The sequence below is a fragment of the Homo sapiens genome, chromosome 10, assembly GCF_000001405.40.
Source record: "Homo sapiens chromosome 10, GRCh38.p14 Primary Assembly".
Classification (NCBI taxonomy): Eukaryota; Metazoa; Chordata; class Mammalia; order Primates; family Hominidae; genus Homo; species Homo sapiens.
In genome coordinates, this window is record NC_000010.11 from 117,999,975 (window position 1) to 118,012,783 (window position 12,809).

At 34.2% G+C, this 12,809-nt stretch overlaps 1 protein-coding gene across 2 annotated transcripts in view; it reads right to left on the reverse strand.

Annotated features, from left to right (window-relative positions):
• Positions 1–4,941: 4,941 nt before the first annotated feature.
• The window catches only part of RAB11FIP2 (RAB11 family interacting protein 2), a 42,026-nt gene continuing 34,158 nt past the window's right edge, over positions 4,942–12,809 (reverse strand). For both annotated transcript variants that reach the window (NM_014904.3, NM_001330167.2), the window contains one exon: positions 4,942–9,251. In NM_014904.3, coding sequence (NP_055719.1) covers positions 9,024–9,251 — 228 coding nt within the window. In that variant the 3' untranslated portion in view covers positions 4,942–9,023. The remainder of the gene's footprint in view (positions 9,252–12,809) is intronic.

The following is a 12,809-nucleotide window of genomic DNA, read 5'->3' on the forward strand; positions in this document are numbered from 1 at the left end:
AATATTTCATGTGTTTTGTGCTTTATTTGCTGTGCATATCTTCACAGTGTGCGTATTATTCAAATACTCCCTAACAGATGGTCTCAAGTGCTACATATTATATAGCATTAAATGAATAGCTTGGTAAACAAATGAGTCAAGGATTAAAATATTTTACAGCTTATAATTCATGAAAGATGTTCAATAACAGTACATTAGTGAAAAAATCTTCAATGTAAACATAAAAACATTAAATGCAACTACTGGATCAGTCAACTGGTCATGACAAATGAATTATTTCTTTAAAAGAGGTGTTTGTCCTGTATGGTCTCTTATAACCTAAATTAATCTGAGGTTGACAACCAGTTTCCCAGTGAACCAGGCCTACCGTTTCCCTTCTCCACCCAACTCCCAGTTTTCTCTGCCATTTTCCCCCTTGCCTGCAAAACTAGGAAAGGAGATGAAACTCATAAACCAACTTGTTACTGTTTAGATTATCGGTAGCAAAATTTTGATGAAAGAGGTTGAAACTATAGGTTCAAATTGAGGATTCCGAATTAGCTATGGTTTTAATTATCGGTGCTCTCTAGTTTCCTAATACTAAGTTTGTACCACAGGCTAACCTAATGTTTAGCACTGAAGTTTTCATTGAGGGTTTGTATGATTAAAACAAGCAACAAATAAACACAAAAACAAATCAAACGCAACAATTTCTGCCTTGTTTAGATACCTTTGAAGTCATTTCATAGTGTCAGTGTTTCAGACATTAGTCCACTGAGGAATAAAAACCAATAAAATACTCTCCCTTTTGGATGTTTTCTTTCACCCCACCCTTATTTTAAATTACGTTATTTAACTGAATGCATAATGATCTTTTTCTAATCATTTAGGGTTTCTAATATTTGATGCAAGACCTAACAAGACTTTCCAATTTCATTCTAGATCTCCCTAGAAACAAAACCTCAACCCCGTTTTGACTGTGAAAAGAACATAAGCTTTTTAATAAACAAGTTATTTGATGGGAGGCTGAGGCAGGTGGATCACTTGAGTTCAAGACCAGCCTGGCCAACATGGTTACACCCTGCCTCTACTAAAAATACAAAAATTAGCCGTGCATGGTGGCACAGGCCTGTAATCCCACCTATTCAGGAGGCTGAGGGAAGAGAATTGTTTGAACCCAGGAGGTGTAGGCTGCAGCAAGCTGAGATCGCGCCATCGCACTCCAGCCTTGGCGACAGAGTGAAACTTCATCTCAAAAAAAAAAAAAAAAAAAAACTAGAAAGTATGCATTAAATAAAACCTCTCACCTAAAGTCACAAGTGGGCTTCATTTGTTATCTTAAGGCCCATTACACAATTTCAGGCATACATTGAAAACTATTCTCTCACACTCCCTGTGTGGCTGCATTCTTGATTTCCTTTTCTACACTAGTATCTTTTACGTTATTTACGGCCTCTGTGAGGTTGAGAAAGATGCCCTCCTTAACCAAACTTTGAATAGTCAAGTCAGACCAATTGGAAGACTATTTTGGCACTTTTACATTAAGGCCCATTGTGTATTTTTTTCTTCTCAATCACAGTACCAAATCTTATTGCACAAACAAAACATATATCAATAATCAACAATATTTATCATGTATCTACTCTGCATAGGGCATTGTACTTATCTTATGAACATTCTACGTATATGAAGTTTCATCATACATGAGGTTTTTCTTTAAAATATATTCATCAAAAAACTTTTTAAAAATCAGTTTATAAACAAATTGGCAAGGAAAGTTACATTAAGCCAAAAAAAAAAAAAAAAACCCTAAACAGTATTCTCTCCAAACTACATTAAACTATGGGGGGAAAAGAGTGGACAGGGTCCCTATCTCAATGGTTCTCAAATCTGAATATGCATTCGATCCACCTGGGAGAGCTTGTGAAAATGACTTTTTGGGTCCTACCCTCAGCGTTTCTGATTCAGTAGGTCTGGGTAGGGCCTGAGAATTTGTATTCTAACAAGTTTCCAGGTGACGTCGACATTGCTGCCCTGGGGATGACACTGTGAGCACCAGTGTCAGGGCTGGGATCAAAAAGCATGAGTGAATTTTAAATAGCCGATGTAAAGATTAAACTATGAAATCAGTGGCCATTATATTTTAATTGAAATATGTATTTAATGCCCTAAAAGTCACATGGAAATCTATTCACTTTCTATTACTGAAAATTGTCATACAATAGCTGTGATTTGACCTTAGCACAACAGACGTGCAGTGATCTTTGGGACACCAGTAATTTTTATACAATTTTTACCAAAAAGACAAGATCATCATAAGTAAGATATTGAAAAGTCAAAACTACCACAAAAGAGTATGTGACAGATCCCAGGATAACACTTGAAAACGCTTTAAACATTAGAAGCAGTGACCCTCAGACTGGACCTCTGGTTACCTGCACTGTTCTCTGAAAAGTCACTGTAGTCAGGCTCAGAGACAAGTATACTGGAGAAAGTCTTTTTTAAATTACATTTTTAAAAATTGTGGTAATAACATTTAGCATGAGATCTACCCTCTTGACAAATTTTTAAGTGTCTAATATGGTATTGTTAACTACAGGCATAATGCTGTTCCGCAGATCTCTAGAATTTACTCATGGTGCTAAGTGAAATTTTATAACCATTGAGTAGTTACTCTCTATTTCCTCCCTCAACACCACCCCCCATCATCCCTGAAGTCCTGGGCGGGTTGTTCTCAGTCTAACATATTACACACACCCCACATGCTCCTCAGCCAACCCAGTTTTTGATTAAACACAAAATCACTTGGGGAGGAAGTAAACGACAACCCTCCTCCAAACTGTTCTTACCATGATGACAATGGTAACTGATGTTACATCAGAAATATTGACTCACTAAGAAGAGACTGCAGGCCGTGTGTGGTGACTCACGTAATCCCCAGCACTTTGGGAGGCTGAGGCGGATGGGTCACTTGAGTAAGGAGTTCGAGACCAGCCTGGCCAACATGGTCAAATCCTGTCTCTACCAAAAATACAAAAATTAGCCAGGTGTGGTGGTGGGCGCCTGTAATCCCAGCTACTCAGGAGGCTGAGGCAGAAGAATCGCTTGAACCTGGGAGGTGGAAGTTGTAGTGAGCCGAGACGGAGCCACAGCACTCCAGCCTGGGCGACAAGAGCAAAACTCCATCTCAAAAAAAAAAAAAAAAAAAAAAAAAGAGATTGCAAACAGGTGGCCCTTAAATTTTTTTGGTTAAAAAGAAAATGAGTTAACTGCCAACATTTGGAAATCATATTTCACAAAATCTGTATTACTTTCAGTTTCTCTAGAAAGATCAGGTTTAGCAATCTTGGACTTACATTCATTTCCGAATGGCCACAATGAGCTGGAGCTGAACAGCTGTTGCTCCTTTTTAGTGGAAAAAAAATGAGCTTCTCCAGATTGCCACTGTCCTCAGTAATCCCTATTCTTTTCCACTCCACCTGCCCTATCATCCACTGTACCTTCCTGGCTCTGTAAATGTTTGAGTTTGCAATTCCTGCACTAAGGGTTGCAGCACAAATGAGAAAGTTTGCTGGGAACTGCACATAACCCCCAGTCTCACTCTCAACACACTTTTCCATCATTTGCCAGAGCATAACAGAATGTAACACTATCATAGCAATAATCTTTACATTGTTCTAATTTTAAAAAATTACGCGCAAACTTTGGTACTAATGTTAGTGACCAACCATACCATACCTTACATCTGAACACAACACACCATTAATTGAAATCCTCTGACAGAGAAATTTGATTTTGTGCTTCCTAGCATAAATTTCGCTTTTCAGTATGCCAAATGATGAAACCACTGAACATTTAAGAATCAAGTTTTAGGGTGTGAGGACTGTAAGATCAAAATTAAGCACTTTTAGTTCATGTAATTATAGGTACATAAATACAAAATTAAATATTGCTTATAAGTATTAACTGTATAATCATAAAAATATAAAAGTATGAAGTTGTGGTATCATGCAAAATTATCTGAGGAAAAATGTCAAATGTTGGGCATTTAGGTCACAAGCCCTACATGAAAAATGGCCACCTTAACAGACTCATAACAGCTCTCCACTTCCAAATTACTCCAAATATTTTTGCCTCAGCAGAGTAAGGAAAAAGAAACGTGCATGCTGTGGGCAGGTGGAAAGAAGAATCTAAAGGAGATGTGCTGGGAGAAGTAGAGGGACAGGTTCAACGGGCCTCCAGAAGGGACTACAATTCCAGAACAGAAAGGCGTTCTGGTCTGCTGAGAAATCCCTTGTGCCAAATATGTATGATTTATGTCTAAGACTACATATGGTTCATGTCCCATAATCTAGAATACAACTGCCTAATACACTGCCATAAAAATGTACCCATACCTCGGATGGAGGGGCATGCACTTAGACTGTTGTGTTGAGGGGACTGGAAGTGGTGACTGATTAATGACTTCTGGTAGATGCTGGAGGATAAGAAGTGGTGAAAAATGCTACCGGCTGTACCAACCCTATTCTACTTTCTTCAGTACCACAAAAGGTTTTCTTACATTTCCTCTGAAAGCTTGTGCATTCCCTACCTTACAGGGTTGTTGTGAGAAATAAAATAAAGCATAAATAGGAAGTACTCAGCAGAGACCTTAGCCTATATATAAATACTCAAATATCATTTCTACTAAATCGTAAGCTCCATCCCTATGAGGGGATGTCTTATATGTAGAGGGCATCCACACATTTGTTGAAGAATGTTCACTTGTACTTAAAAACTACTCTTTTGAATGACTTTTCAGAACTATCTTCATAGTAAAATAAGTTTGTAGGTCTTACAGAATATGTGCTACAATACACCAAATAAGAGGCATCCTAGGTATTTATTAAAAAACAAGGAGGACTCATATATAAATCCATTATGGTAACACCGCTGTATCTGTAATAAATGTTGACAACTGAATTAAGTTTAAACACTTTAATCAACTATAAGTCAATAATCATATATTATATAAAAATTCTGATTCATGCATCAGATTACATAAATTATACAATTGTCACATTATACAATGCTTACATACTTTTGAATTTGTACCTGCAAAAATGTATACAAGTTATGAGAGCATTTACTTAAGAAGATAAGTGTTATACTCTTCAGTTATAAATAATGCTTCTATCTTTCAAATACCCGCTAAATATATGCATTTCTAGATCTGCAGCATTTTTTTGTACCTCAAAACACAAACCATCTGGAAGCTTCGAAGACTAACAGGCCCACATGTATCATGTATTAGACTTCAACTCCACTGTGAGAGTGCATTTTTTGATGGATAAAACAAATGGAATGAAACATCAACTCTATTTTAATGCTTGAAGAGCTTCTATACCTCTTATTAAATATATCAGAAAATGCTTCATATGCAGATTAATTAGCTAAGGTGCTACCAATTGCATATTAAATACTTCCAATGATTGCATCTGGATTATTAAAGTTCTACATCTGTGCAAATGGGGGCTTTCCATGTGTGCTGACAGACCCTTCTACATACCATCATGGCCCAGCAGCACTGTGATCCTTTCCCTTATTTCAAAGGGACCAAGTGAATGAGCATGCATCATACTTCACTTACACATACACACAAGTGACACCTACCACCTACAAGACATATGAGTACATGAACATCAAAAAAGTTTCAGCTTGATTTACAAATCCAAGGTAAATTGCTTCTTCTGAAAAGCTACAGAGGAAAATAAAAGCTCTAGTGTAACATTTACTGTAGATATATTAGACAACAGTTTTTTGTTTTTTTTTTTAGATTCTCTTTGTTAAAGAATAAGCACCCTTCCGGGGATGGTAGGCAGGGAGGCGTGGTGGTGAGGGAGTTGCTGGAGGAATAACAAGAAGAAAACAAGTCTGTCACTAATGAGCTTAGTTTTACTTAGGTTTCCATTCATGAAACCCTTTTAAATACAAGGCAACATTTTCACAGCTGGAAAATTACAACTAAATCTTGATTTACCACCAAAAGCAATAGATGTAGTTATGTATAATCTATAGATAATACTACATTCAGGGGACAATGGCAAAACTAGGCTCAATGCAGAACATAGCAGCAAAAAGCAATACTTAAAAACGTTTTTCATGAATGGGTTACATGTTGTTTTATATACAATTCTAAGATATGACCCTGGTATTCAATAAATGAAACTTGAAGCGTAAGTGGTAGGAAGGTATGTTCAATATTTTTAAAGCTGAATTTTAGAATTGGTTATAAAATAATACTGCTTTAAAAATAATAGCAGAAATAGTTTAATTATGTAACAGAAGTACATTAGCTTAAGATAGTCTTGAGATAAATATCAATTCTGTGATTTTAAAAAATCCTCTTGTTGGTAGTAGTGTTTTGGGCATGCATTCTTTAAAGCATAAAAGCAAAAATAAACTCTATAATCTAGTGTACTGTGCATTATTTAATAAGCACATATATTTTATTTCCATTTCTAAGCAACTAACAAAATACATTAGAATACCTAAAGTTATGTTTTGGAAAAATAAACTAAGGTGACCTTTTTGGCCTCTTTTTCTACAACGTGAGAAATTAAAACTACTTTGCACTTCTGCCCAAACACAGGAAACACTGATATATTTACTTGGGAACTAATTTTTACTTTTTGTTTTTAGTTTTATTATTTTGACTGATTATGAAAATATGCAATAAGTTTACTCTAGGTAATGAGTGAAAATTCACAAACATTAGAACAGCAAATTTTCAGGCAGTGATGAATGTATTAATAGATCTAGTTTTAAATATAATACTTGTCTCAGATTTAAAGATAAAAATTTTGATTGAGTTATAACCAAATCACTCATGTATGAATAAAGCTAAGCCTCAATAGCTTTTATATAGGAAAAGAATCGCTCCTTAAAAATCAATTTCCCCATAAAAAGAAGAGCAGTACTTGAACCATACTTTTAAATGAGTTCTATTTATGTAAAACATATCCCCAATACAAAACTGACATCTTGGTTCACTCTATAAACAGCAAATTTGGCCAAAGCATATTATTATAGTATCTGCAGATACTGTCATAATACTGAAAACATAGATTTTCACATTTTAAGAAGTGTATGAAAAGACTCAATAATACTACCAGACAAAAACAAATGCTGAGAATTTTGTAACATTTAGTTAATTAAAAGTGGCACCATGTTTAAAAAAAAAAAAAAAACTACCAAGACCTCAAACGGGAAAATACCATTCTACACCAGACTTTGAGGTTTATTACAGAATCTTGAGGAGAAAAAAATTGATAAAAGCTATTTTTCCTTCTCCATTTCTTAAAGCATTTAATTTTTATGAAAAAAATGTTCATAATTTCAAAATGTATGTTCTTACAGTAAAACTGAAATGCAGAAGATACAAATAACAAGGGGTTTTAGTTTACAAATACGAGCTTGGCCAAGTATTCTCTGATTCAAAATACTAAAATAAGCAAAAAAAAAAAACCCAAACTATTATATCGGCTTTTTGTTTAACTTTCAATGGAGTCTTAACAGAGATAAGTATTAGAAAAAAATGCAATTCATGGAAAGATTGGGGAATATGTAAGTCTCCATATGGACATGAATTTTCATTTTAAATTCAGAAAGACATAGATACTCTCAGTGTTTTATAGTATTTCAGACTTTAAAGGCTGAAAAATAAGCAGAAGATTAGCAATATTTTTATAACATTGCTTGTCAATTTAAATTTCAGAAAAAATTTGTACAAATCATATAAAAATAATCCATGGAAGAAATCAGTATTTTGGGGGAGTGGACTTTAAAATAGAACATAATTTTGTAATAAATCAATTCTTAAAGGGTGGATGTGGAGTAATGCATAATGTCACGCTCGTAAAGTTCTCTTCTAAAAACTCACTCTTCCTTTAGTAAGTCTTATTTTGGTTCAAGACCCAAAGGCAACCATCTGCTCTATTATTTATGTAACCTGAAACCAAGCCTAATTCTTCATTCCTGGAATCTGCCCGCTGCTTTGGGTTATCAGACACACCAGGCAATCACATACTTCCCACAATTATTTTCAGATATAACTTTATAATATTTGCTTTGCTAGTGATTTAAAGGCATGCAGAATTTCAACAAAACAAGCTATATTAGCTTATCTTCTGCTTATACCTTAAACAAACTCAAATGTTAATTAATTCAAATAAATTCATGCTGTTATGAAGTTAATGAAGTCTCCTAAAATTTGTCATTCTTTAAAAAAGGACTTGAGATCATCACTTTTGGGGAAAGAGAAAAACTTTGATGCTAGAATAATATATAGCAGCTCACTTTGAAACCAAGGTCCATGTAGTCAAGAGTGATTTGAAGCAGCTTCTCTATAACAAACCATGACAGTAGGAAGGATGACTTGTCTTGCATCAATAGAGCACACACATTTTCAAATCAAGAAATTGGTAGCCTAACTTTAGAGGCAATCAATTGTTTCTAAATGTTCTAAAAACACATGTATATATGAGGTATATGCCTATATTTTATATACAAGATACATGAATATATATATATTCATGTACATATGTGTATATAAAATATAAACTGTTTTTTTAGTAGTGTTTATAACGAGCAGTATTCCTGAAGCTAAATATTTCTACAAACTGATTTCTGAGAAACCAGCCACAGGATCAATTCTGCTTTATGAAAAATCTATTCCTGAGGAACAACTCACGTACTTCTGAAGATATTTCTGGGCCTATGGCAGATTAGTGGGTCAGTACCAGCACCTGAGTGAGTCCTAAGGAACCACTTATTCATTGAGAATCTGGCCCATTTTCAATTTAAACATTTAAATGATTTAGCTTGCTTCAAAGGTCACTCTTGATAGTCCCTGCTAATATTTACAGGTAAAACTACTCTTCACAATAAAGGAGAATATGTAATGAAACCTGATAGTGTAGTCTCTTTCAGTAACAAGTTTTTCCTTCCTTCCTTCTTTCTTTCTCTCTCTTTGTCCAATTATCAATACAATACAATTGGCTTTATTAACTGTTAGAGAATTTGCCAGCTTTCCTGGATGGTTCATACGGCACTCTGAGAATACTGGGCGTTTCTTCCATTACCCTTACAAGGAGGTTGTCGATGTAGTCCTCGAGTTCCCGGATGTGGGTGTCTTTCCTCCTAAGGAGTTCTTTGTGTTTCACCAGCTCCTGTAGAACCTCTTCATAGGTCAGACTACGATACCCTGCAGTGGCATCAAAGGGGTTGCTGTCCTAGAACAGGATAAAGACTGTCACTTTCATAGATATAACATCTGGGACAAACATTAAGAATTACCTGGAACTTCGACTTTTTGTTTTTCAAACCCTGATGAAGTTTTTCGCTAGCCTTGCTTAAAGTGAATGTGACAGTTCACAAATTGGCTAGCCAGTCCTGAGGCAAGAACTAGGGCAGATGCACCAAAGTTTTGACTATAACTCTAAATCCTAAAACCCTTTCTAACATTGTGGGCAATTTCCTAATATCTGAGACTGGTTATATCATGTAAGATTACATTAAGAGATGAAATATTCTATAATAAATACAACTAAAATAGATGAAAACTAAAGATTTCTAAAAGTTAACTCAGAGGAACTGTAAGAAGTAACTGAAAACTATACACTTGGACTTGTGTCCTTATGAAACTGCTTCCACTGAACTGTGATTTAATGTTATATGTTTGGCTTCTTAGTGAAGATGGTTACAGCAAAAATCTTTTCTAATTTGCTATGAAAATGGAAGCACTCGGAATTAAATCAAAGATTATCCTTACAGGAAGCCCCATGTGAGTAACTTCTGTTTTAATTTAGAAACAGGCAGAACTTTTCCTCCCCTGAGTAACTGGTCTATTTCTTTCTCCTATAATAATATCTAATTTATCTTCTTTCCCTTTTTGACCCTGGTTATCAGGAAACTCAAGAGTTCAACCATATTAATACTACGGTTAGTATATTTGCATTCTCTCCCATTTCATCTATTTACTTAACTTTATTCTATTGACAAAAATTCTTTTTAGGCAAAAGCATAAATATAACCAAAAATCTTTTTTAAAAGACACTTATTAATTCACTGTTATTACAAAGCATTCTAATATTAATGTTATATCAAAAGTGAAAGAAAAATATTTCTCAGGAATTTAATCAAGGCCCTGTAACATAATCTTTTATTTATAGTGTATAGCATTAAGAGTTTTCATTCTGTAAAACATAATGCCCAATTACAACTAAGCAATTTTTTATTCTTTTTAAATCATAGTTCTCTCATTAAGCCCAACAATTTAAAATAATTTTCATCACTATCTTTTAAAACATTTCCATTTGGCTTTAAGGAAACTTAACTAAAATATTGAGGAAATTGGTTTTCTTGCTGTTAAGGAATACTATCTAATCTATTCAGTGGAGGATGGGGAATGGGGACTGGTGAATGCAGAATGACCCCCACCCCCAATAAGAATTAAACTGTCCTTCCCTGTTTTCAGGATCTACTTTAATAGTGCTATGTATTTGGGGGTGTTCATGAGAAAAGCCAAAGTTTAACTTTTCACTGGCCCTCACCACTTCCCCAGCCTCTCAGCCCAAGGAACCAGGACTTTACCAGACCAGAGAAAGAGAAGCTAGAGTACAGATACCAATTTGATGCTTGGGTCATTGAAGCACACCCACTTCTCCAGGATAAGTGAAAACATTCAGGACTGAAAAACTTTTCCAATTTCATAGAATCTCTCAGGCTTTGTGGAGAAGATACAGCTTGCGCTAGGCCTTCAAGAGTTTGCAGGCAGAAATGCGTAATGGGGCATTTCAAGCAGTGAACTCTGCTTGTTCAAAGAAGGAAACAAGGCTCAAGGCATAGTGGCCAACAGGTAATCCAATAACAGGTACTCTGTAGAGCATGGCTGGAAAATACTGTACAGGACAGCGAGCAGACAGGGGCCGAAATGGAAGGTTTGAAATAGACCACCAAGAATGCTGAATGGTAGTATAAAGAATTTTTAGACTTTTGCTATGGAAAATAGGAAGCCACTGAAGGTTTCTAAACAGAGAAAGGATATGATTAAAGCTATGTTCCAGGAAAAGTAAAATGGCAACAGTGGAATCATTTGGAGGGGCTAAGATTAGGTATAGGGCTATTGAAATATGAAAGACCAGAGTTAGCAAGAATGAATAGAGAGGATATTAAAGGGAAGTGAGTTTAAATTCTATAAAATATGTCTAAAACAACTTAGTTTATTTTAGCATTAGAAACTGGAAACAGATGTAAGTTTCAGTCATATTTCCTTCATCCTTAAAAACATTTCAAATATTGTTCTAAAACCATTAAAGGACAATTCTAGAGATAAGTGTTGTTTTACTTCTCCCTCCTCTCTCAGATCAATTAATCTTTTATAAGTCTACACACATGCGCACACACACACACACACTCTCATGCACGTAGTTACTAGTTTAATTGGTCATAATATATAGTTTGGAGATACATAAGTATTAATTACATTCTTATAAAAGATTATGTTAAGCCGTTTTCTACAGTAAAGAGAAGACATAGTGTAGAGTTCGGTATACTTTTGAAATTTCTTAAAAATAAGCTAAAGTGTCTTACTTCAACTCGAGTAATTCTGCATAAATTTGAGAGAGAAAGCAACTTGGGTCTCACTTTCCTTATCTGATAGATGAGATGTTCTCCATGGTCCCTTTCAACTCTAAAATTGTCTGGTATACCAAGTGATTTTTCTAAACCCCACTTTAAAAACTAATAAACTCTAACTAATGTGATTTCACTTTTCTAATAAAACATTTACTGAGAAATTCATGTTCTTGTGAGAATTGCAGGGATTAATGAAAGGAAGCTAAATGGGATTCATTACTGATTAGTTGACTGCTTTATGCTTTTTCTTTATTTAACATAATAAAAGCATCTATTCAAGTCTCTCTAATCTTAATAAAATTACACATATATAAACTGATTTCTCCAAACTAATTAAGCTATGAAATAGTTAAAATAAAAGTGCACTGTTATATTTAACACTATTACCAGTTAATGTAGTTAAAAATTTTTTGTAACATTTCTCTAAAGACACTGAAGATGAAAAACGTTTCAAAAATTTGTGTTTTGATATAAATTAAAGCCATGATATAAATTAATAGTTTAATCTTTCAAAATAATCAATTATTATTTCAGACTACTGGTCATACTTTATAGCCATACTCTAGAATACACAGATATGTTATTTGGATTATTTTTTTTTTCCTTACAACAATCTAACACTAATGTGTAGACAGATTTCCTGGAAATACATTTCTGGCCTTTTCAATAAATTTTCCGTTTGTCCTTTTATGTGAAAATTTCACCTCAAATTTTAGCATCAAGTTTCTAGGCAGGAAAACATCTTAGAAACATATGTACTATGAATTATATTCTGGAAAAGAATATAAAATAATTAAAAACAGTTTCATGCTGAGTTCCAGATTTTATCTGATATTTGAAAACAATGTAAACCTTCTAATTTTAGGCATGAGATTCTTAAATTGACTGATATACTCCACATATATATATATATTTCTGTTTGTTGATATAACTCCAAATAAAATAATGATTAAGTAATATAAACAATAGAAAATTAAAACATATGCTCATTACAAAAATTATTTTTTTAGAGAGGAAAACTCTCAGGTAAATATAAAAATTATTTTTTCGAAAGATTATTCTTGCAAAAACTTGCAAAATTCATAACTCTCTAAACTGGCAAAGACCAAATGCAACTTACAATGGTTACTCCAAAGTGCTCAATATTTTTTCTT